Genomic DNA, 27,671 nt, shown 5'->3' with positions numbered 1-27,671 from the left:
ATAAAAGCCTATTAATGCACTCCTAAGGATTGAGGTTCTTGCCAGCAGAGCCATCTGTCAAGAGATTACAGAGAAGGAAATTTCTGCAGGAATCTTCCCCTGGGACGAGATAAAGTGCCAAGAAAAGGTGTGTGGCATCAGGAGTGAGGACAAACTCCGAGAGTCCTCTGCAGTGCTTATCGCAGACAGAGAGGAAACCATCCACCCACTGGCAGTCAGGGAAGAGGAAGAGAAGAGAGGGAAGTCTCTGGATTGCTTTTGACCAGAGAAGTGAGGTCGTATTGAAAAGAGTTTACAAAAACAAATTCCTTATAAGGTAAGTTAAACCTTGTTGTACTACACTCTTAAAATTTTCCAAAATACAACGTTTTATACTAAGGGCACTAATGAGAAAATGAATATTAATTTTATGAGTCACATTTACAGAAAATGATCAGAAATAGTTGAGGAAAAGTAAAATGTCATTTTTCTTGAAATCTTGAGTCTTTGGAGTTTATGAAAATGCCCAAGATGTTATTTAGATAAAATGTTGTACTAATATGCTATTTTCACTTATTTCTTCAAAATAAATGCCGTTTAAAAAGTAATCAAGATAAACTCATGATTATTTGCCTCTTGAGAATTAAGAACATGCCATGCTGTGAAATAATTAAAAACCATATGACCATGAAAGTTACAAGACTTGATAATAGAGAAATATATTTTTTAAAGTTTCTAGAATCATGGCAGGAAATGATACTTTAATTTTAAGATTCTAAATAGATCTTAGTTCATTTCCTGATCTATGTTTCTATATGGTAGTATTCTGTATATTTTAATAATTATTATTCCTATTTCCTTTGGTGATTGATTTTATTTTTTTCTAAGATGAGAAAAAATGTTGATTATAAAGAGGAAAAATATCACAAATTTATTATCTTGAGAATTAGATAAGCATTATACATTTTTTCTTTCAGAATTTTGTCAGAAAGAGAGCTGTTTAAATGCAATAAAATAAACATGTTAGAAGGCATGTCTTGTGCTAATTTACAAATGTTTTTAAACTTATAATATTGGTAAGAAATTGTTACTCAGAAATTAGGACTAAACATGCTTTAATTAAATTTTATTTTGCATTGATCAAAATAGAGATATTCTCCTTAAGTCACTGGTTACTTAAGGAAATGGAGATGTGCAGACATAAACATAAGTTCTAGACAGGGAGAAGAAATAAATCTTATCTGTTGGGAAAGAAAATAAAGTCAAATAACACAGTGCTAAGTCTGGCTGATCACAGCGATCCAGTGTTCATGCTGGCACTGTGCCCATAGCAGATTATTGCATTTGTAATTGGAGAGAAATTAACCTGTGAATTTAAGTCAAGTTATTCTGCGAATTCAATTAGAGTGGACAATTAATTTTAATAACCCAGGGTTTTGAATCTTCCTTCCTCTCCTACAAATGAACAATTTTTCCTGATTTATCAGAATATTATTTAAATTCTACTTTCTATTTAATTATTTTATCCATTCCTCCATTTACTTGTTCATTCAACCAATATTCAATGAATAATGTCCAGGTGGAAGGCACTATTTGGCTAGGCATGAAATAATGAACTGACGTGGTCCCTGCTCTCAAAGGGCTTATAGACCAGTACACTGCATACAAAGTTTCCCTTTAGCTTCATAATAATTTAACAAACAAAATTTAAATCTATTTTACCAACATGAATTTGAGGTTGACAGAAGGTAAGTGATAGCAGTAGGAAGTATCTATGTTAACATTATAATTCAAGACTTTCAGTACATTGGTTTTATTTGTTCTTTAGTATTTTTTTTTCCTGATAGTTTTTTTTTTATTATACTTTAAGTTTTAGGGTACATGTGCACAACGTGCAGATTAGTTACATATGTATACATGTGCCATGTTGGTGTGCTGCACCCATTTACTCATCATTTAACATTAGGTATATCTCCTAATGCTATCCCTCCCCCCACTTCCCCCACCCCACAACAGGTCCCAGTGTGTGATGTTCCCCTTCCTGTGTCCATGTGTTCTCATTGTTCAATTCCCACCTATGAGTGAGAACATTTGGTGTTTGGTTTTTTTCCTTGCGATAGTTTGCTGAGAATGATGGGTTCCAGCTTCATCCATGTCCCTATAAAGGACGTGAACTCATTATTTTTTATGGCTGCATAGTATTCCATGGTGTATATGTGCCACATTTTCTTAATCCAGTATTTTTTTATTTGTTTAAAGTAGCAAGGACTGAGCATTATTTACTCTGCTCTTGGGTTCTCATTAAATTCTTTACTTTAATAAACATGAAACAAATTAGTTTTTACATAGAAGAGGACAAGAATTCTTGTGCAGCAAAATGTCCTCTTCTATGTAAAAACCAACCTCTAAATATTGTCTATTTAAAATTGGAAAATAGATTCTTACCTACTATATTCATTGTTATTCCTACAATTAATTTTTGGTAATGTGCATTTCTATCAGTTTTGGCAGTATTATGATGGTTTATCCTAAACAAAAGTGATATTTAAGTTTTTGAGTTATGAAGATCTTCTCTGGGATCCTTGCCAGAAACAATGAAGTTCTTGCTTGGACCAGTGGGTCCAGAAACTGTCACTTCAAATAAAATGTGTTTATAAGAGAGCACTGTCTTCATATCTTTTCCAAATAATAAAGTACTAAATTCAATAGCCAATATTTTGATAATGCAACATATGTACTATAATATGAATATAGTATTCTTGTCATAGAGAATGAGTTAGTCAAAATAAAACAAGTTGCAGTCATATAACTGTGCAACTATTAGGAACAGACTCTTTAACATTAAAATAATGTAGTAGTTCAAAGGCACATAATGAAAGAGAACAACTGATTACTTTTGACTCTTTTTATCAGATGAAATCTATATTAGGCTTTTAGTTAGAGTTTGATATTTTTAGTCTTCAAAGAACATTTATTGGTCACAGAACATTTTCTTATATTATGTATTTTTGAATATTGATCTTTTTTGTCTCTTTATGTATATACAGTTGGAGAATACATTATTTTTGAGGTGGCCAGATAATTAAAAGAAGTTCTCACAGTCTCCTCTCTGCCTAGTACCTAAATGCTTTTTATCTAGAAAGTGACAGATCCCCAACCAAAACAATCTCTGAACTACTGTTCACATGAAGGGATGTGGACACATGAAGGGATGTGGACACACAGATGAACAGAAAGCTGAGCATGAAATACCAAAACTCCTGGGTTTCAATCTTAACTCTGCTGATTACCACTTTCCCAGCTGTAAAATAGGGATAATAATAGCACTATTGTTATTATGTGGATCAAATGAGATAATGTATGCATGGCTTTATCATATTGTGGTGGTAATGATGATGATGATGATGATGATTGTGGTGGGGATAATGATGAGATTCTCAAGAAATTCAGACATTTCCAGGGCCTGTGTGGATTTTTACATTAGCCCTTCACTGTGTCCAGTTTTGAGTTTCTTTATTGCATCCCATGCAAGCCACCAGAGATAGCTTTCTGAAGAGCAAATCTGGTTGTGTCACTTCCACAGAGTGGCTCTCCATCACCTATGGCTAAAGACTCACACTCTTTAGTGTGGGATATAAGGCTCTTCTCTCATGCCCCTTCAGTTTCTCACACTCCTGAGTCTTGGCACATATTCTGGTCTCTCTGCCTGGATCACCTACTCTTTGGTCCCACTTGTGTAATTTGAATTTAACCTTCAACACTGAGCTCCAGCTGCCAAAAAGACTTCTGATTCCAGCTTCACCTACCTCCCTCCATACCCAGGACTGTGCATAGGTCTATCTTGGCTCAAATTTTAGTCGGTCAGCTTGTCATTTCCTTAAAAAAAAAACCCTGTGAATTATTTGAAAACGGAGGCCATATCTTTTTTTCATTAACTAGGAATTACAATTTCTAACACATAGAAGGTGCATAATAAATGTTAATAGATACATGGATGTTCTAGTGAGCAGGTAGGAAGCCTCTCCTTTTACAACTCTGTTCATTTTCTGGGTACTGATGTCATGCAGGGGTGTTGATATAAAGACACGGATTCATGAAATGTAAGGCAAGAACGTCCATAAGTACAACTTGTGGATGTGGCTTTTGATCTTTTAAATAAAATTTTTAAATCTGTTATTTTATCTTTTTATGCTACTTAGCTGGAATAAGATAATTCATTATAGTGCTTTTAATTTTAAACATAATTTTTAAAATAGTACTTTACCAGTAAAGAATGAATTATTTTTGTTGAAATTTTTGATCAAACTACATGGCCCATTATGTCACCAAAGTGGTAGTAAGAAAGTTCTGGGTCTTTGCTGTTCACTTTTCTCTGTGGAGGTGTTATGCTGAATCTTGTACTTGGACGTCATGATTGTAATTGTGCTTAGAATGATTGTATCAGTCTGGGGATAAAGATGTGGTCTTAGGAAATGAAATTAATATCTCCAAAATACTATATCAGGTTATTAGTGTTGTTATGAATAATTTCAATCTGTTTATGGAAATATTGAACTGTGTTATGAGACTCTTAAAAATTTCCATGCTATACTCAGAGAGGTAAAGCAAGACAAAAATTTTAAAGGAAAAAAATGAGGAGGATTAATGTAATTGTTTTGAGACCTTGGCTACAAAGGTCAATAACAAGGGTGACACCAGTCTGAACTTGGACAGGCAGTTGTTGGGCAGATGCCCTGGCACAAGTATTTTTGGTGTGGGGTTGTGACAGCCTTTGTGCAAGGTTGTGCACTTTGTGGAGTCTTTCGTGATAGTTTAAAAAGAAAATTCCCACGCTACACTGAGATTTTGAATATGAATTGGAATTTTAATGTGGTTTGCATATTTTTGAATAAGCAAATGTAGAGAACTCAGATATGCTCTCTATCCCCTCCCTATCAATAGTGAGCTGCTTTCAGGAGCTTTAATCTTAAATTTCTTGCACTCTGAAAGAAAAAAATGTTTTCAAAGAACAACAAGAGCTTATGTTTCGAGGTTCTTTCCTGCTCTTTCCTTTAGCACCTGTGTTGTTCGTGGTCTTTTCTGCTGCTATAACTAGAAAAGCATAAGAGGGAAAATATCGTATTACAGGCAGGTACTCACCACTTCATTGCTTTTTCTCCTGCCAGATTCTGCTCATGTGGCTCTATCTTCTCTTGCTGCCCATATAGATAAGACCGTTCTTGGAGTCTCCCTTTTGAGGTTCTATATCCTCCTTCCAGTGCAATAAACCAAAATCAGCACTAATCAGTTGCATAGTTCTTGTTCTAACACTAAACTTGTTAGACAGCTGTGCTATCCCCATGGATTTTCTTAGTTGGTCTTTTACTTACCATGTAAAGCAATTGTGGCACAAACTGATTTGGAATGAAAATAGAAGCACAACCTCAAACGTAACTGCTATGTCAATAAGTAATACTACAGTAATAGTGAGTTAGCATAAAATTATATTACTTTCTAGATAGGTGTTTAGTTTTCTTCTATTCTTTATGCTCTATTCAGGTACCAAGGATTCTTTCTTATTTGTATTTTTTTCTTTCAGCAATATCTATTGAAGGTCTACTGTGTAGATGCATTATGATTCAAATTATACTTACTGAATAAATGAATCTACATAGTGAATTTTTGAAATGCTTCTTTGTGGTTCTAGGACCTAGCATAAGTTTTGGCGCAAGTATATACTTAATCTTTGTCAATACTTGAATACACTAAACAAAGTTGGACTACATGCCATGAGTAGGCAGCTTGGAGAAAGTGAGTAGGTCCTATTTAATTTTCAGGAAGAAAGATGAACAACTTCATAAAATAACATCCCTCAAACCATTGAGTTTCTCTGAGACATTTTCAGGGGAGGATAATCAGAGGAGGAAGGCTTTAAGCCCCATTCTGGGACCTCTGAAGCTGTCAGTTTTAAAGCCTGCCTCTAAGGTTACACAGGAACACAACTGTAAGGGAGAGTCACAAAATTCTATTTAATTCCATGGAATGCAATTCGATAGTGCCTAGGAAAAATATCTAAATAAAATAAAATACTATGATAAAATAAAATTCTACATAAAGTAAAATACTGTTCTATGAAATTGAAAAGTCTAGATTAATTGAATAACAATTAAAGTGAAAAATAGGGAAATCAAATGACAAATCTCAACTATGTAAATTCCTATTTCTTTCTTTCTTTCTCTTTCTTTCTTTCTTTCTTCTTTCTTTTTCTTTCTTTCTTTCTGTTTGTTTCAATAGCAGTTTCCTTGTTGCTCTTTCTCAAAAAATTGCTGAGGTAAACTCCTTACCGTTATACAGTATATTTTGTGGAGCATGTAGTTATAGAATTACTTTATTATTATTACTAATGAGGAACACCATAGAAGTTACATTTATATAACAGTTTATGATTTCTTAGTCATAAATGTTAGCAATGTAAGGGACCTTAGCAGCATTCTAAATAAATTCCCTTCTTTTTACAGATGAGGGAACCGAATGATACAGTGATTAACTTATTGGTTTTATTTCAGGGAAAAATGAACGAAAATTGTCATTCAGAATTATTTTTTCAGTTATATGAAAAGTGGTTGTCAATGAGACACTCAAGGTCGAGTTGATATCTGGCTTTATCTTCTTTTAAAAATGAATTTAATAACTTCATTAAAATCTAAGAATATATAAAGGCAGCAATACCATTACTCAGTTAACAGAGATTTACTTATCATAATTTCAAACAAGGAATTCATCAAGTTGAAAATTCTTTCCAAGGAACTGTCCGGTATTCAAAGAACATGAGGGCCATATCACCCATCATGCCCTTGATGAAAATCCCGACAACGTATTCTATATGTGGCTGAAAGAGGGCTGTTTTATGTCTCAGCTAGCTCAAGGTATAGCTGAACAAGAGACAGAGTTAAAGACTTCCTTCTTTTTAGAGAATCAAGATGTGCATAGTATTCTGGGTTGTCTATTCTGAGTCAGGTTTCCATAGTCTCAAGTTAACATGTCTAGACGTCCTTAAGGCTGTTTATCCTAGGTGTCCTTAAGCTTGAGAACCGGTCTTTAGAGGAGGGTCAGCTCTCACAGTGGCTCAAGACCCAAGGCCATTTGAGAGAAAAAACAGAATCAAGCACAGGAAGACAGTGCCTAAGACACTGACAGACAGCCATGGAAGGAAAAGCAACACACACACACACACACACACACACACACACACACACAAACATATATACACACACACACAATTTATGGAGAGAAGGAGATATACTATGGCAGTGACATCTTTATCTTTAATAAGGTACTAACTTTTTAAAAAATATGTAGCATGATTAGAATAAAACTGTCTTGACTCAAAGAATGAATATTTGAAAATATTTTCTTCCTTTGCATCTAGCTTAAGATAGCATTTCTGAATATCCGTACTGTGGGAACACCAGCTTTATGGAATGTTGTCCTACAATACTCCCCCAACACCCACATTCTAAGAATTTGGTGATCATATAACTTTGGGAAATATTGGTTTCAACAAAGACAAATAGCCATCTTTCATTTGGGGCTTAAAAAATCATTGTAAATTTGTACGGGAAGTATTTAAGATGCAGAATTTTCTGTATCAGCTACAGAAACTTTTGTGGTTTGAAGCATCTCATAGTACCAGCGTTCCATGAAACACACTTAGGAAGTAGTGACTTCCATCATTTAACAATGCAGTAGGAATTGAGGTTAACCAAGACATCTTTTCGTCTTGTGTGGAGCTTACATTTTAATACCATGAAGAGGAGTCCTAATTTGATAATTGTTATGATTGTATAAGTAGTATGTCATCACTAATGATCTCTGTGTTTATTCAGAATAGACCACCAGAAGTCTAATGAGTTGTTCAGAACTTAGACAACCTAGGTTACCAGTATTTCAACTTTCTTAAGCAGCAGCAGACCTCTTATTTAAGCACATTCTTTTATAGACATTCAATATGCAAAAGAGATAAAAGGCAGGCTGGTTTGATTGATTTGGGAGTAGAGTGATAGACTTTGGTCTTCTGACTTCTATAGTGGTCTGTGATTTGTATATTTGAAGATCAGCAATTACAAGAATTTTGCATAAAGTTCTCATCAATAAAAAAAATTCTGGATATTTTAACAATTTTGGTTAATAAAGCACCAAAAAGCAAGGGTTATTTTTATAAAATATTTGATTCAGTTTGATTCTTTTTTTTTGCAATAAACAGTTTCTATGTTATAGCAAGTGTTCAAGAATTATAGAGCGGGGTTATACTTGTTAGGCTTCTTGAAGTGAATTTTTGAAGATTCAAACAAAGCGAGATTTCTCTTATAAGTTGTTCCCTTACATTTTTTAAAAGTAAAGGGTGTATAAATAAGAAGAGAACGACAACTTCTAAAAAACTTGTGTTGGTTTTCTATTGCTATTGTAACAAATTACAGTTTAAAACAATGCAAATGTATTATTTTATAATTCTATAGGCCAGAAATCTCACATGGGTCTTACTTGCCCATTGATCAAAACTTTGGCAAGGCTATTTTCCTTCCAGAAGCTCTAGGGAAGAATTTTTCTCCTTGTTTTTCTTCTGGCTTCTAGAGGTTTTCTGCATTCTTTCGCCCATGTACTCCTTCCTTTCTTCATGTTCAAGACCAGTAAATTTGCCTCTCCCTCACCCTGCCTCCCTCGTCACATCTTTCTCTGATGACAGCCAGGCAAAGAACTCCACTTTGAAGAACTCATGTGATTACATTGGGTTGCCTGGATAACCCAGGATGTCATCCATAAACACATCTGCAAAGGCCCCTTTGCCGTGAAAGGTAATATTCACAGATTCTTGGGATTAGGATGTGAACATTTTTAAGAATCCATTATTCTGCCTATCAGAGTATTTTAAGTTCCTTCCCAAAGTGCTAAATCACTAAATGTATTATAGCTTCATAAAATTAAATAAAGTATGAGTGTTTTGTTTCCTCTTTGCATGTGAGCCCTTTCCAAGTGACCAGGAAGATACTACTCATTCTTCAAGGTCCTGGACCAATGAGCCCTACTCTGGGACCTCTTTCTCTACTGCATCTAGTTGCTGCCCCTTCTGAATTTCTTCTCCATTTATAGGTGGTAGCTTCTGCATCCATCTCCAATGTGTCTTCCGGGCTCCTGTCAATAACAGGAGCTCCTAAAAACAGGGACTTAATCCAATTCAACTTTTTAAAAATAGCAGACATTGTAGGTGATATTCCTAGAGACACTTCCTAGGGGAACTTCCCACATTTTAGACTATCATCTATATGCCCATGACTCTCAAAATCATTATCTCCTGTTTTGATTCCTCCTAGAATTCTCAATTCACTTAGCCAACAGCCTATAAAATATCTCCTCTTCGATATCTAATAAACATCTGTGTTGTGGGTCTCCAAAGCTACTCTCAGATTCAATGATTTTCTAGAAGGACTCATAGAACTCAGAAAAGCTTTTGTACTCATGGTGACAGTTTGTTACAGTGAATGGATACAGATTGCAATCAGAAAAAAAAATGGTACAGAGGGCAAAGTACAGAGGAAATCAGATGCAGCTTCCAGTTGTCTTCTCCGGGTAACATTGTATGGCCAGCACTTAATTCTCCCAACAATAATGTGTGATAATACATGAAAAGTACTGCCAACCAGGGAAGCTCACCTGAGTCCTGATGTGCATGGTTTTGACTGTGAGTCGCTCATATAGGCATGCAGCACCTATATGATTAACCTTAGGTCAAACGGATATAGTCTCAGGGACCCAGAAAACAAAAACAGGTGTTTACCATAAATCACATTGTTAGCAAGACCCCAGGTATACAAAGACACTCTTATCATGCAGAATATTTCAAGAGCTTATAGACCTATCTCAGAAGCTGGTCAAGAGCCAGTCCTTTTTTGGAAGGTGAAGGGTTTGAACACCACAAGTCTGAATTAACCCTTTACTGAACAGCGTCTCCAATTTAACATGGCTAAATCCAGAACACTTCATTTTCCCCCAAACCTGCTCTTACATGAGTCTTTCCCACTTAGGTAAAAAGTATTAGTATCCATCCAGTGGCTCAAATAAACAAAACACAAACAAAAAAATCTAAAAATTATTCTTATTATTCTCCTCATCCTTTATGTCAGTTTCATCAGCAAGTGCTAGCAATTCTCCTTTTAAAACATTTCTAAAACAATCCCAAAATTTCCCACTTCTTTCTATCTCTACCATGATCATAGTCCAAGCCACTTTGGCTATAGTCTCCTAAATGATTTCCTTCTTTAACCTCCAATCTTTTCTACACAGAGCATCCAGAATGATATTTTAGAATAATAGAGATCGTGCCATTACCATGCTTAAATCCTCCAGTGGCTTTCCATCATCAGACCTAAAGCCTTCTCTGAATTAAAAAGCTTTATTCTAACCCCTGCTTGCTTCTTTAACCACCCCTCAATTACTCTTTATATCTCCACCTATGATTCTATCAAAATGGTCTTTTTTTTATTGCTTGGACTTGGCAAACTTGTTTTGCCTCAACTGTTCTGCTACTTGAAATACTTTCTCTATTTTTTCATGGCTGACTTCTTGTCATCATTTGTAATTTTCAGCTTAAATATCAACCTCCTCAGAGAGGCTTTTTCTGCCCATCCTAAAACAGGTAGCTGATTACTCACCTGACATCATCCAATTTTAATTCTTTGCATTGTATTATAGTTATTGATATCTAACCGTTTCTATTGTTTATCTTTAAAAAAATTTATGTCTTAACTTTTCTTTTCTTGTGCATAATATAAGATCCCATGAAGGCTTGGTCTTGCTTATTCCTTTTGTATTTCTTGGTTGACATGTAACAGACACCCAATGGATATATTTACTCAGTGGATAAATTTTTTAGCATCATCATGAGAGGTTAAAAAGTTGCTTGGGATTATAACTGGTGTTTAATGAAAAGTAGTTTAACTGAATTTTTGGTCTAATAAGAATCAGAAGAATTCCAATAAAGTTATCTGCCTTTAACTCTCATAATTTTTTTTTTTTGGCATTTTCTTTCCATTTACTCATTTGTACGCAGCAGCCATGATTTTTGGTCTTAGCTATTTAAAAACACCAAAATGATTCTTATATCTTGGTGAGTTTTAGCAACATGTTAAAAATTTGATTTTAAGGCTGAGATAGTTTCTAAATATTTTATAGTTTATTAAACAATCAACCAGAACAACATTGAAGAGTCAGGTTTATAAAAATCCCTTACTTTTTTTTTTTGGTATGGCTAGGCTTTTAGACTAGGAATATCACCTTTGTACTAAGACTGTCATGCCATTGTTTGTATATTGTTGTGTTGCATATTGCTTTTCTTTTAATTTTATTACTCATGTTGTTTACTTCTACTGAACGACAATGACAGAGGAATGTCACTAGAGCTTAATTCAGAGTTTAGTTATCATGGATTTGTGATGATAAGCAGAATCAGTGACAAGCAAGCTAACTTATTTTCATACTAAACTGAATTATAATTGCCAAACATTTATTTATTCTTGGCAAATCTAATAACCTTCTAAAATAACCTCACTTTGATAACCTTCTATTGCCATTAAGAGCAAGTTGTGACATCTGATTCCAAAAAGTATTGAGTAATTTACTTCAATATGCTGACAACAAATGCGCACCAATTGCTGAAAACACTGGAAGCAGATGAAAGCTCAAGAAATGAAAAGAGGATATATGGGTAGCTATAACACACCTCATTATCAAACCTGAGATTGGCACATACTAAAAAATGTTGCTAACTCAATCTTCCATGCCAGTATGTTTCAAAATATTGCATAACCAATCACTAGCTTAGGAAAAACTTTCTAGGTCCAATCTCTTTCTGCCTATTAACACACATGCCTGTGAGTTGATCCTTATGCTGCTGTTCTTGCAAGAGTATGACAAAACACAAACAAACAAACAAACAAAACCCAAGTGAGGTGCACTGTCCTCCACTGCACCCTGGCTCCTGATGTCCAGCCAGATTTTGCTGACATTAAACACAGTCTTTAGAGTTCAGGAAGGCTGGGCAGGTGCACCAGACACATCAGAGGCAAATGTGTAACAGCATGGAGCATTTCTGCTGGGCCTGTTGGGTTTGACATGCCAAAATAGCCCAGAAGGAATAGCAGTGCCTTTTGAAGTAGCTGAGATGCTTCCCTGATGTCACTTCTCTGAGTTTTAGATCAATGGCTGGAAGATGAATCAGAACATGTGAGGAGAGTCACTGAGGGGAAAGGTGGTGGAAAGGTTGCAGGAGTGAAGCACCCAAGCCCAGAGAAAAGGTGCAGTGAGTTGTGCAAGCAGGAAAAACAAAGGACTGAGTCATTGGAGGCCTAATTGACAATGGCACAGCTGTGACAACAATTTGCCGGCGGCCTGGCCTATTTGATGAAAGGGCCTCTGCTTTCCTTGGAACCCCAGAGTTGCAGTGGCTCATAGGAACGCGCCACTCATGTTTCCAGCTGTCTCAGCCTCATAAATACCTAAACTCACAGATGACATTTTTAATGCTCTGCAATTGCTATTCTGCATTTATATTTATTGCAATTCAACATTTCCATTAGTGAATCTATCACTGATAAATTTGTCACTGCTTCAGGAATACAGTCCATCATGCTGCATCAATTTCACTTTACAAGCTATTAATGTACTATAATGCAGCTTAAAATATCATGTGGATATATTTGATTAGAGAGGTACCAGAGTCAGTCAGATTGAACTGAGAATTGCCAGAGAACCCAAATTCTTAACTTATTTATTGTAAAGATGAACAGCCTTGGTGATCAGTGAATGTGTTAATACAACAGGTGTATCTCTTTCACTTTTTCAAACAGGCACTGGAAAGAACAAATTTTAGGAATCTATTTTGACTCAGTTAGTTTGAAGCACAGCAGACTTACAGTATTTTGTTGACACTTGACATGTTTATTCTTTTAGCAGACTCATAATCATATTTTAATATTTTCTGCATTCAATTAGCAGCTTGATTCAAGAAACAATGATGGCATATGAGTCCAGGAGATAGGACCAACTATGGCTTTCTGAAATAGGGTAAATAAAAATATTAAACCTTTCTAAATAAAACACAGATTTTTCAATACAAGATGAGATATTTCTGGATACTGTAACAATTTCTGTTAAAAATAAACAAAAACAAAAGGCACCTGTGCAATGAAACTTTGTACAGAAATTTACAACGCTCAGGAATGTGGACTACATTAGTTCATTGGCAGTCAGAATCTGGCAAATCACTGTGTCCACAGACTCTAAAAGCTGAACTAGAGCAGGTCAATCTGAGCAATTTTAATATTTCTGGCAATTGTCAAATGCTCAAACCATTTTCTAAATCTCATTTTTCCAATTTTAAAATATAGAGGAAGACCTGTTATGTACTTAGAAAAATCTGCTTGTGAAGTGCTATGAAATTCACCAGTGAAAATTATTTTTCTAGAGAGGTGATTAATAGCACATATATGTAGAATGATATGCATTTTAAACCTTACTGAGTTATTTTCAAATGAGTGGCAGCAGGCAAGGTAATAATTTTTTAAAACCTCAGTTTTCTACATGTTTAATGAAGACAGTAAGATCCAATCTGTGGAACTTTTCTTAAATTATATGAGATGCAAGTTGTGGTACGTCCACACAATGACATGCAGACAGATACTCATCAGGTTAAGATGGCTCTATGTGTGATGTACAAAATGATTACCAAGAATTAGTTAAATTAAAACATTTAAGACCAGAGTACTATACATATAATATATAAACAAGATATACAATATATATGCACAGAAATTTTGGTAAGATATAGGAAACACAGAAATCTGCAGTTTCTGTGGGATAGGAAGGTAAAACATATTTTCATATTATGTCCTTTTAGGCTATTTGATGCATTGCTATTTGTTCATATTACTTTTATAATAAAATTAATAGTTTAATTTTTTACAGGGTACAATGTCTTAAAAAGATTAACAACACATTGTCTAGCACGTAACTAGAGCTCAATCAATGTTGGCTCTTTGTATAATGCCATAATAATTGCTCCTTTCTCCATGAATGTAATAGATACCTTTGCAGCTGCTCCAATAACTATGTTAAGTTGATTCTGAAGTTAAAGAAGTCTGCATGGAGACACATGGATTTGCAAAGTCCATTTGATAAATGTCTCCAAATGTGGGTACATTATAAACTCAGGAAGCACCAATAGTTTGAAAGTCTGCTTAAAAATGTGGCTAGCAATTTGAAGGTGTCTTCATAAACACGGAGTGCACGGAGTGAGGGAAGCAGTAGTTCCTGTCTGCTTTCTATCAGTCATAGCACTCAGGAACCTTGTGTTGTGGGTGGGTTTTCTATGTTGTGAGAGATCTGAGGAGTTAGAGCCTGGGCAGAGGAAAATGACCAGGACAGTGCAAGGGAGCAGACTCCACATCAACATGAATAGCTAAAGGAATTGAGGGGGTGCTGAAGAACTCAAGGGAGCCCTTATAATGACAGTTCAAGGGCTGCCACACAAGAGGGATTCAACTTAATCTGTGTTAGTTCCTGAGGGCAGAACTGGGACCACTTGGTAGAAGTTAAAAGGAGACGTATTTCAGCTTAGAGCCACAGCTAAAACCCAGCATGTCATGATTTATAGCAACAAATGCCACCCTAGGCAAGGATAGACTTTTCTGTTAAATTCTGAAGATAAAATGTACCAAAGCATCTGGATTCTCACAAGGATAATGTCCCAAACCTAAACTAAATAAATAATCCCTGCATGTACATCTTTACAAAGGTTAGATACACGTAGTGGATGAACTTTGTGTCTGCTGCAGTTAAGCAGGCTGCAGAACTCCTTGCTAACCTTGGCTACATCTCGTCGCTGCCCCACCTGTATGCAACAAAACACATCATCCTTTTGATTTTGCCTATTCAGTGCTTTTAGCCCCCATAGCTTCATTCTAGTATCACAAACCTACAGAGTTTAGGTATCAGGCACCACTCTGCTCTGATACTGGACTTGTTTCTTTGCCTTCAATTTTATCCCTTTTTTCATCCTCAGTGCCCTCATGGCTGTGCGTTTTTGCTTCTGCTGTTATATTTAGCTTCTGCCTTGCATCAACATCAGTTGGGTAATATGGGTTTCCTCTCACTGAAATATAAGCTCCTTGAGGGTTGAAGAGTGATATATTATTGTGTCCTAGAATACAGTAATCCTCAGTAGATTAAATCACACCCCTTTATGAAGAGTAACAGGAGCAAAGACAAGTAGATTTAAATGTTTAGTAGTAAACTATTCACCACCAGCTTCCAGCCCTTAGTTTTTCCACAGATCATCTATCTCTAATGGTTGTAAGCAACAACAAAATACAAAATATAATACATAGTTGGAAGACAATCTTTAGATAATAATGCATGTATCAAACTTGTGTCATTCATTAAGGAAACCTACAATCCACATGTATGTTCTTTTCCAAATTTCTGGAATTGCCATTATGGGTAATTTTAGATTTATCCAAGGGTGATATTCCAAATTTTTTGTAGCCATAGCTGCATAGGAACTAACAAATGCAGTCTTTAATGCTGTAGCAGAGTTTGTTTGGGGGTCCCCTGCTGTGCTAGACGTTAACCCTTTGACTTAGGAAACTCATTATCAGCACTGGAAGTACCAATTGAGGCAAACCTCAAGAAAACATGCTGATACATGCTCAGATTACAATGGGTATTCAAACTACTTTCCTAAGGGTTACTGAGCCCTTCAGATGTGTCATTTACCCTTGTAGGCCAGTGGAATCCTATGGGGTGTCAGGGCTTTTCAATAGGTGGCTTCAGTTTTCTCTCTGGCTTCTGGTACCCTGTTTAAAAGTACATTTGATAGTTTTAAACAATAAATGCAGGTTTCAGAAGCATATTGCCTAAAATGAGAGAAGCAGTATAGGATTGCAACCTCCATATCAAAGAGTGGGACCTCAGAATTAGGATCATTGTTACAGTGAACTATACCAAATGTTTGCCCTAGATTTCCAAAAGTATAGCTCAAATCTGAAAATCTAGCGCACTAAAAATAGTCTGTTTCAACAAGAAATAGTCATTTTTCTAAACTTTCAATACTACCAAAAAAATGAAAAGCGAATATGTTGATGGGAGGGAAAAGGCAGTATTACAGAAGTTTCACAAATCAAATTATTCTTAAAATTGTTTTAACAATCTTACAAGAAATTGTTCTTACACTCATTAGCTCAATTTAAGAAATTATTGTTTATTAGGCATCTGCTCTGTGCCAGACATAGTCCTGATTGTCACTGGATATACATAGATGGGATGAGTCAGTCTAGACAAGGACTACAGTCTAGGAAACTGGCATTTCTTCATAACACTTATCAGAATTATAATTTTCACAGCAATTTAGTTAATTTTTGAAATGTCTATCATTCTGAACTGTGACTCCATGAAGGCAGGAATCTTTTCTGTCTTGTCACCAACAGGTAACACCTAGTACAGTGACTGGCACATGATAAAAGTTCAAAAAATGTTCACGGAATGACTCAATTAGTGGATGAAAAATTACTATATTTCAAAGCAGAGTAATAGACATTTTGTGAGAAAAATACTCACGAAGTACTGGGATCCAAAGATAAGCATCTTACCTATTAGGGTGGGAATTCGTGAGTGTGTCATTTGAGATATCCACTAATTATATATGTTGCATTTATATAGACTTAATTATATTGAGATTATACCCACCCCAATCCTTCATCCAAAAACATTCTAAAACTAAGGTTTCATGCTTCAGTCCCCAAAACATCTCATGAAGTGAAGGCAGGGAATGTTTAAAAAAACCAAACAAACTGTACTTAATTATTGCCCCAACTTTCACCTACCTGCAAAGCCTGTGCAGTCATTGTCACTGTCCTTCCTAACCACAGGGAGAGGGAGCGATCTTGGCTTGTATTTACAGACAACAGAGCTGAAGGAATTTCAAGCCATGTGTATGAGTGCAGACCACAAGATCAATGGAGCCCTGCAGAGAGTTCCACAGGCACAGCATGAATGACTTAGTCCTTTCCTAGCCTAGGAGCTGCTGGTGGGGAATCTTTTTGCTGTTAGCAATCCTACTGTGTGTTCACTCTTGGGCAGTGTGACATTATTTCTATAGTGTGAGCCACCCCATTTCTGATTGCTACATGACAGCACGCACTCCTGTTGCTATCCAGAAAATGACAGCTTTTCCTTGTTGCCTCTGGTGGTGTCTCACAGCATCCCTATCGCTTGTGATCAACAGCTTTAGCTCGCTCCCCTTCCTACTGTTTCTTTAACATCTGTCTCTGTCAGTCCTCCTCACACTCTTAGTTCAGCAGTCCTTGGTGGCGATGGGCTTGGCTTTGATACCAGTTGGCTTGCAGAGTAGGAACTCAGTACTGCTGACCCCTTCTTGTCATTTGAGGTTATACACAGTTGTTACTGACAAAATGAACACAAGATATCCTGAACTGGAATGTGACTCTGGAAGTGCTATTCACTGCAAGGCTGGATCTAGTCAAGAATTTGGGGGTGATTCCATTTTCCAGGAGTTAGGAGTTTGAACCTTGTGCATCAGTGCATCTTTTGAAAGGATCTAATTAGCTCTGAATTGCCTATTGGTATTCTGAATATATGCTACTCCTCTGATGAATGCAGATAATATATATTTCCTTTAGATTTTTGAAGAACAACACCTTGTAAACCTCACAAACAAACCATAGTCACGGATTGATTCTTCTCTTTCTGGAGATTAATCAATATGTATTGATGGTCATTGAGCTTTAGAAACTCACACCCTAATGATATGGAAGATCACTCGATGAAGTTTCAAGTGGCATTTCCATGCTCTTCGTCATATCTTATAGCACAGTCAACAAAAACTTCACTTTCTAGTGCCATTTTGATATCAAAGTAAGGGTCATACTAAATTTAACTCAGAAACATAATACCACTGATAACCACAGTCTCTACTAATATTGGTTTCAATTATATATTTTTTTAATTAAAAATCTCATTTTGTAATTTTTTTTTTTTTCCAAGACAGAGTTTTGCTTTGTCGCCTAGGCTGGAGTGCAATGGCATGATCTTGGCTCACTGCAACCTCCGCCTCCCTGGATTCAATCAATTCTCCTGCCTCAGCCTCCCGAGTAGCTGGGATTACAGGCACATGCCACCATGACCAGCTAACTTTTGTATTTTTAGTAGAGATGGGGTTTCACCATTTTGGTCAGGCTGGTCTTGAACTCCTGACCTCGTGATCTGCCCACCTTGCCCTCCCAAAGTGCTAGGATCATTTTGTAATTTCTAATGATCATTTACTAATTAAAGCTATTTTCAGCCATGATAATTAATGAGTGTTAGAAAGTGCCATCATTGATTATGAAATTCAGGACTATGTGTTTTTCCAGAGAATTTACTATATTTCACAAAGTTCTTTTTCCTATCTGAGTCAGTGAAGTGGTTGAAGTATGTCATTGCTTGGTGGTTAACAAATGTAATTGTTCTGTCAGGAAAGATGGGTTCAGCTTGGATAATTCTAAATGTTAAATCCAAATGTGAGCTTTCGATTTATTTCAATGAGCAGTGCTATCTCTTTAATATCAAACTATTAGCATATTTGAAATTGTGAAAAAGGCTAAATAAGCAATATTTTAATCTACTTAAAATTCTTCTTTTGACCTGGTATTGAATGTCCTACTTATATTAACTAGGCCTCTTTTGGTTAAGTCCAGTGGATACTCATTTAATCTGCCTCCACATAACCAAATCTCTAGATTGATAGGTACCCTCTATTTCCCTTATAAAATGCACTAATGCCACCAACATGCTAAATGCAAGAATTAGGTTGTTATTCTCTAATATGCTGATGCACTGTTTCTCCTACCAGTGAGCTGAATGCTTAAGAATGAATAATTATGTAATTTAATTTAATATCTATTTCCTTATGAATTATCATTGTGAAAAAGAGTTGTCATAGGTATTAAAACTAAATGAGTATTTGGGAAAATTTGGTAATGGCACATCATTGAAAAATGCTCAGGAATCGGGGTGTAGGTAAAACAATGATAAATCTGGAAATAATCCTTAAAATTTGGAAGGTTTCTTTACCCACATTGCTTTATAATTAGCTTAAAATTCCCATTTCACTTTGAAGAAATTTAAACTGGAAATCACAATTATTGTATTTTGACTGTGGTTTACACAAGAATAACTATGGAAAATTTAATTAGAATATATAAAGTTAATTTGAAACTATGTATACATTTTCTTATTTCAAATAAAAATAAAAGGTTTGAAGTGTTCAGCACTTGTACGGCTTCCCACTTGAAATTAATGATTTTTAGATTAATCAATCATCTACTGATCTAGATAATTTTGGAAAATAGTTTTGTATGGTAGCAAGAACTGACTCTGGCTAGAGGATTTACTGGAATAACACTAAGGATTTTACTGTATCCAAGCATGAGCTGAACCAAAGTCCTGCAAGGGAAGGAAGCTCTGGGGAGCTCAGAAGCAGGAGTTTGTGACTACTCTTATTGCATCTCTGCTCATGTTGAGCCCTGGCAAATCTCAGTCTGTGTCTCTAGATTATAAGTTTCAAGTTTCTGAGAAAGAGAAGCTGATTCTACCAGCTTGGATTCGCTACTCTTGTATCAATCAACCATCCTGGACCAATCATCTATATCCCAGAGGAAAGGCCTGATTTGACAGTTATGAATCAAATAGCCACTTCTGGAAAGAAGGATGTACTACACTCTTAAAATAAATGACTTGAGGATTCTAAAGAAAAATTGGAAAGAAATTTTAGTGGTAAATATATGATGACGATGGGGAATTTTATCCACTAGAATTCTGGAAATCTGCTTCCAAAGCTAAGGGAGGTCACAGTAGAATATTCGAGTGTAATTCCTGAAGACAGGAGAAGCAGAGGGGGTCACACAGAGGTGAAGTAGGGCTTTTGGAGGGGTAGAATATGAGCAGCAATTGTCTAGAAGGAGGGAATAAAGAAGACAGCAAAAAATGAAGGAGAAAGGAACAGAGGAAGAGTGAGAGAGATATCTTGACATCTGTCCTGTATATGGGGCACTGGAGAGAGAGAAGAATTATGAGTTTTCATAACATTTTCAGGATGAAGCACTACATATATATTGTCTCCTCCATTTCAAGAAAGCCAAAACAAATGTCTACACTTTTTTAAAGGATTTAGTTGTTAGATTGGACAAATACAAGCCCATCTCAATAAGGCATGTTTAAACATCTATCCTGTAATACACACTTTAAAAAAGATTTTAGATTTAGCATTGCTTTTGGAATCATTTCTGTTCTTCTCTACTCATGCTGATATGAAGAAGAAAAAGTAAAAACAAACACATTTATACCATTCAAGGAAAAGTGGACAGTTAGAAACTCAGGTTCTAGTCTTTGCTTCTCCAATTAATGGGTCTATCAAGTAGTAGTTGTAAGCCTCATTTTTCTGACTCATAAAATGTAGTGCACTAATATAAATATTAAATAAGGTGACATATACAAATACGTACAGTACAAAAGCAAAATACTATTCTAGTGTGAAGTTATAAATGGCTTCTTATCCATATATCCTTAATCATTACAAAACCTGAAATTCTAGAGAGGTAGAATAAAACAAATATTAATAAGTATTATTAATAAAGTAATATAATTTCATTTTGAAGCTTTTACTTTCCTCCCCTTTATTATTTCTTCTGGAAGATTACAATGATTACTTAGACTTTTTTTTTCTTCTCCAGCATCCCCAAAACATTTAGATCTTCTAGAGTTCCTCCCCATGCACCTCCATAATATGATAAAAATATGGTTCTCTCTTTCTCTATGACCCCAAAATAAATGTGTAGGGACCTTTTGTTTTGGGCTTTTACTGTTAAGGACTACCTGGAAATAAACACTAAAAGCAAATATAACTCATATTGAAGTTACCAATCCTTAAGACACCTCAACATATTTTTAGGACATTTGGGCCTGGACTATAGGGAAGTGTACATGTGGCTAGCCCTTCACCATTTCCCATGATCTCTTCCCTAACTTTAGAAGGTCTTGGGGATGTTATTATTCCTTTAATGTTTTATTTCCTTATTTTTGGGCTTGGTTCTCCCAAAGATATCAATGAAAGATTTCCAATTCTTGAAGAGAACATCGTTTGAGGAACCTCCTACTTGCTGTCCTTTGTCCTTTCTCTCCCTGCCCCAATACTCTTTCTGTCTCTGGTGTAGAACCCTCTCATTCCAGAAGATGATCTGAAAAACCTATTAGGACAAAACTAAGATATCCCAGTGCACCCAGAGTCAAGCAGATCATTTATAAATTAAGCAAACTCTTGGCAAATACCTGCAATTTTAATATTCCCTTGTTCCTCTCAGAAAAAAGAAATCACATTAGGTCATTTCTGACATATAATTTGGGCCTCCTGTATATACCCAAGATAAAAAGAAACATGCATGAGTTAGTTTATATTACACTCTGTATTGCAGAAAGATTATAGCTTTCCATAAACTCAACTCATAAAATGACATTCAATATAAGTTATTTCTTTCTAGAGAAATTCCCATGGAATGCCTGTAGTTTTAAAATAGTACTCATTGTTTATTGAACTACTTAAAGAAATCAAAAGTGATTCTGCTTATGTTTTCTTAAAGAAGAAAAGAAGTTAATTTTTCATCTATCTGTGTTTCCTCCGTGAGAGTATGTTCCAACTGAGAAATGGGACAAAACAGGAAAATTTTATAGTTTCTAATGTGAAAGGAGGACTATAACCATCACTTCTGTTTAGCTTTCAATTTTTCAAGTTTTGCCAGCCTTTCATCTCCTCCTGATGAGGCATTTCTTAACATTCCTCATACATAGTTATACAAATTGGTATTAACAAGAAAAAAATACATGAATTATTTACATAATACAAATGCTTTAAACATTGCTGTGAGAAATAATATTTCAACATTATCCTTATCATCTTTTGTGTGTGAAAAGCCAACATTTACTTACTTTGGGAGAAATAATATATGTTCTTATGGCAAAGTCATTGAAAAAAATAAATATATATATAAATATATATATGTTTTCTAATAAACTGAATTTTTAAATGAAATATTATGTCTCTATATATTGTATGTGTGAGTGGTATTTAAACCTATTAATTCCTCCATAGTAATTCCTTTCATATAATGTAAATTATTTGAACCACAATTGTTAAAGTGCTTTTAAACAGTAAAGTTCTATATAAGCAGGCAGTATTGCCATTACTTCTATGGCTTATTTACACCCCTATGGACTGTTTTCTGCATTTGATATAATTTTTTATTTTTAAAAATTATTGACAACACAGTGAAATTTTCAAATACCAGCAACTATGATGTTTGCAAGCACTGAGAATCATTTAGAATTTTTGAATCATAAGAAATGAAATCAACCTCTACTTGTGCAAATTCCTAGTATGTTATGAATGCAATGCGATCTTGGTATTTGCTTATCAAAGGAATGTACTAAAATATTGCAGAAAAGGCCATGGGCCATGACGGACTTCATTTTATTACTTCACTTTCTTTTGCCTATTAATTCCACATTCCTCTCTCTTCTATTGGCCTTATTAATGGACTTTAACAATGAGATAAAAGTCTTCAGTCCAGTGTTTAGCAAAAAATTGCAGAATTTCAACATGAATGAGACTTCATTTTATAGAAGATATTGTGGTTAATGAATTGTCCGCATTTTGATGTTTTCAGATCTTATTAGGAAAATCTAACTCAATGAACAGTTTCCTTATTTGATGATTATTTTCTTATGTAGTCCTTGAATTCAAAATTAATTCAACAGATATTGATTGAATTTGTATATAGGCTTCTGATGTGGTCCTTTAAAATGATTGCTTTTAGTCTTTTCTTCTGTGCTTGTTCTTGTATTCTGTTCTTGTATTTTCCTGCTCAAGATTTAAAGCCCCAGTAAAGAGGCTTCAATTAGCCAAGCTCACGTGAAGGTAAAGCAAGGTGAGAGGAGAGTTTTGGAAAAGAAAGAGATGCAGGAACCCCTGATTTTCTTACGGGTAAGACAGAAACCTGGGTTTTTTCCATGAAAACTGCACTCATTAGGGAAAAGACAATCTGCAAAAGTAAGATGGAGTGTGATAAACAAAGGGGGATAAAGAATGGGTTCTATAATCAGGAAGTGTACATAGAGCTGGTGGAAATATACTATAGGCTTGATGAAAGTGTGGGTTTCAGATTGATGTAGAAAGAGAGCCAAAAGCATTTCAAGGATGAATTAATTTGGAATACTAATGTTCAATTGTTCATTTTCTTACAGTCTATTGAAAAAGGCATGAATCAAACAATCACAGAGACAATAGCATTATGAACTATAAGAAGTGCTTTGAGTGTAGTAAGTGAAGCCACTTTGCAGCACGACTCTTGGTAAAAGTCCGGTTTACTCTCTTTATCTGAATTTCACTCGGTCATTACTAGCCTTGTTGTGAAATACAAACATATGTACAATTTTTTACCTTCCTTACAAGGAAATTGAGATTACTGTGAGTTTATTAATGACTCTGATGCCCTCAGAGGGAGGTTCAAAGTATTGCAAACAAGGGATATGAGAAAATGATTTTCTCCCATTGTTTTTCAATTCAAGCTTCAGTTGTGTCCTTTATTTGTTATGTGACCTTGAGCAAATGTCTTAAATTCTCTGAGTCTTCAATTCATACATGAATACATAATATTCATTTTGATTGCTTAATGTTGATATGGAATATAACAGTTTTAAAAAAATTATTTGTAGAACTAAGTATATTGCTAATTACATTCCTTACATTAAACTTCAGGGGAGAAATAAATGCATTCTGGAAGAAAAATACCCCAATTTTGAAAATTCTATGCCATTTACAGGAAAAACAAACATACCATTCAACATAAAATATACATGCACAGTATAACAATGAAGTTGAGGCTTTAATGTCTCAAAAATAATTTTTAATATTTATCTTTTAATACTAAAACTATATTCGTCAAAATTTATATAACTGCAATCTCTACTTTGTCCAGTGTTTTGTAGGCCAGTAAAATGACAACTCATTTTCAATTATTAATAGTATCAGATTTCTTAGTTTAAAAAACTAGTGAGAACAAATAAATACATAGTTTTTTCTCAATTATCTTCACCAAGGAAACAATGATATGAACACTCTAAAACAGCAGATAACACAAGTAATACTGTTATCACTGGCTTGGCAAGCCTTGCTGCAATCACATTTTAATTCAGGTATTTCTGAACTTTGGAGAATTTTAGTCAGAACCAGATTTCCACAAGTGGGTCAGCAGTTGATAGCTTGGTTATGTGATGTAATTTGAGGGGGCAAATCCCGAAGTATCTCCCTAGTGTACATAGTACCTGAAAATCTCACAAAACTCATTGAAATACCTACCTGGTTGATAGAGTTTGGCTCTGTGTTGCACCCAAATCTCATCTCAAATTGTAATCCCCACATGTCCATAGAGAGAAGTGATTGTATTATGGGGGAGGTTTCCCCTATGCTGTTCTCATGATAGTGAGTGAATTCTTACGAGATCTGATGGTTTTATAAGTGGTAGTTTTTCCTGCATGTTCTCTCTCTCTCTCTCTGTCTCACCTGCCGCCATGTAAGACGTACTTGCTTCTCCTTCCACCGTGATTGTAAGTTTCTTGAGGCCTCCCCAGCCATGTGGAACTGTGAGTCAATTAAACCTGTTTTCTTTTTAAATTACCCAGTCTTAGGTACATGTCTTCATAGCAGTATAAGAACAGACTAATACACTGCTTATGAATTATAACTTTATCAGAGAAGAGCAGAAAATTAAGTCACTAATGGCCAGCAAATGTTATTCTCCCTCCCTTCCTGGGCCTCCCCTTTACTCCTTTCCAGAAAAAAAGCTTCTTTCATTCTTCCCCAAATATTCCTGTAACTATCCAACTTCCATTTCTTCTTATTCTGGAATTGGCTCTCCCTTTTCCTCCACTTGTTACCATTCTACATCAGCCTTTAAATTTCAGTTTAAAGCCAAGCTTCCATAAAACCTTTATTACCAACTCAAGTTGAAAGGCACTGTTCTGTCTCTGAACACTTACGAGCTTTGTGGTCTATGTGATTCATTTGGTGTTTAATCATTTGGTTTTGCCTTGTGATATCTATTTGATTACATGTTTGGATTTTTAAAAATTGTTCTTTTCTTCTTTTTATTTTCTTTATTTTCTCCCCATTTTTCTGGTTCAAGTCATTCTTTACACAGCTTCCAGAAGGGTCATTCTAAATGGCACTCCTCTGCTTAAAACACATTGCATACCCAATTAAGTCTACATTTCTTACTTTGACTTGTGAAGTCACATGAGTCTTCCTTCAAATCACATAATACAATGAGCTACTTCTTGCCATAGGGCCATTGCCAATACTCTTCTTTCAGCTTAGAATTTTCTCTGCCTGTGTCTTTGCATGGTTGGCTCTGTTCTTCAATGTTCCACCTATGTGTTATCTCCTCTATATTTTTCTCCAACTTTATTATAGAAATGAGATCTTTCTGGGCTCTTTGTCTTATGGCCTTATTCCTTTTTTTTTTCATGTCTATTCTAGCATTTTCCATTTATGTCTCAGAATCCACTCTTCACCATTCTGCATCCTGCTCTCTGCTCTGGAGACTCCCTGGGAACTGTATCCATGGTCTCCTGCCTTCCAGACTGGGGTTGGATTTGTCCATTGTGAGGTGAGATACAGAAAGTGGAGAGTGAGGGCTGGGCATTTATTCTCCTGGCTCCCTTCCCTCCACATAATCCAGTGTTGGTTGTTTCCTATAAAGTAGTTACTATTTATTTTTATTTTACAGATGAAAAAAGTGAACTCAGAATGGTTGGCCGAATGCGGTGGCTCATGCCTGTAATCCTAGCACTTCGGGAGGCTGAGGTGGGCAGATTGTGTGAGGTCAGGATTTCAAGATCAGCTTGATCAACATGGCGAAACCCCGTCTCTACTAAAAATACAAAAATTAGCCAGGTATGGTGGTGCACACCTGTAGTCCCAGCTATTCAGGAGGCTGAGGCACAAGAGAATTGCTTAAACCCAGCAGGCAGAGGTTGCAGTGAGCTGAGATTGCGCCACTGCACTCCTGCCTGGGTGACAGATGGAGACACTATCTCAAAGCAAACAAAAAATCGTTAAGAGATTTATACAATTAACAGTGACTGAGTGGCACTGTCAGGATTTATATTTCAGCATTTAAAAAAATCACTCTGCCTCATTTAGCAATTGGATAATCACAAGTGATCCAACTTTTATTTCTCAGACTAGTTAGAAACATCAGTCTGAAATTAATTTCTCTACCACTGAATTCATTGTTTTTTTAAACTTATGCTCACAGCAAAGGATGAGGAACAAGTTACCATAGCATTTATTCCATGCATGTTGAGCTGTAGAATCCTACAGAATTTGTTATCCAATGTGTTAAAAATCATCTAGCTTTATAACAAAAAACCAAGAGTTGACCACATTTTCAAAAAAGCGTAATAACTGTCTTGAAACATGTCCTGAATACAACTATAATAAGATGTCTTAATTATAACTTACTTTTAAGAATTATTTGAACTTCATTTTTAGGTTAAATAATAAAAATTTGTTAAAGATTTTAACAATATTGAATTACATATATTGTCTAACTCAATAATGTTGACCAAACTCTCAATGAGAGAGTTTTAAAAATCATGTGGCAAACCCTTTAGCAGAAGTGTTTCTGTATTATATTTGTTAACTAGAAAAAGATGCTACTTTACTATTAATTTAGAGAACAAATGCAAAAGATATAAAGTAAATTTAGGCACAATGCAAAATGTTGAGGGGTTTTAAATCTTAGGAGTAGTCTTGTGGGAAATAATTGTTTAGGTCTTGAAAATTTAAACCTTCTACACATTTTGCTAAAACATGATATGTCCAATATCTCTACTCTTTCCTCAAACATGAATAGCTTCGTAAAAAGGTGTTCATTCACTTAAGGACATCCGTGAGTTTCCTTAAATACGGAAAAGGCAAAAAACATGAAAGATGAGAATGAACTCCAGTGTAAATACAGATAAATATGGCGACAGCTGTTGCTGAATAGTTACAGAATTAGCTTGAGAAATGAAACCTCTGTAGTTCACACACAGGCACACACATACACACACACACACTTTGGATTTATTTATGAAACAGCATCTTCTAAACACAGAACCTTGCATTGCAGAAAAGGCAATTAAATAGAACAGCATGAGGTTGTCAATCACTTCAACAACTAACAAAAGCATTGACTATCAAAGCAAATAATGTTAATGTGCAAAAAGGTACCTTGCTATCAAAGCAAATAATGTAAACATGCAAAGGCAAAGAATTCTCTGTATCAAATGTCACCATTTTAATGTTCACCATTTTTGTGACTGTTTTTGCATATGCATGATACTATATCAGTAATTCTGAAATTTGATATAGAATTGGCCATTATCATTTCTTAGAGGATTTGGTCATCCTGTGATGCTTTTGTAAGAGGTGGGGACTTTCTTTTTCCTTCTTTTCTTTCTTTTTTGTGTTGTTGCTAGTGTTATACAAATAAATGGACAGTCACAGCTTA

At 35.3% G+C, this 27,671-nt stretch overlaps 1 long non-coding RNA gene across 1 annotated transcript; it reads left to right on the top strand.

The window, feature by feature from the left end:
• LINC02058 (long intergenic non-protein coding RNA 2058) lies at positions 1 to 27,671 on the top strand. The gene is made up of 3 exons (XR_001742811.3): positions 1 to 316; positions 25,652 to 25,781; positions 25,902 to 27,671. It is a non-coding gene; the product is annotated as a long intergenic non-protein coding RNA 2058 (long non-coding RNA).

Source organism: Homo sapiens, chromosome 5, assembly GCF_000001405.40.
Source record: "Homo sapiens chromosome 5, GRCh38.p14 Primary Assembly".
NCBI classification, from domain to species: domain Eukaryota; kingdom Metazoa; phylum Chordata; class Mammalia; order Primates; family Hominidae; genus Homo; species Homo sapiens.
Note: the sequence above shows the minus strand (reverse complement) of the source record. Positions and strands in the feature narration are given on the sequence as shown.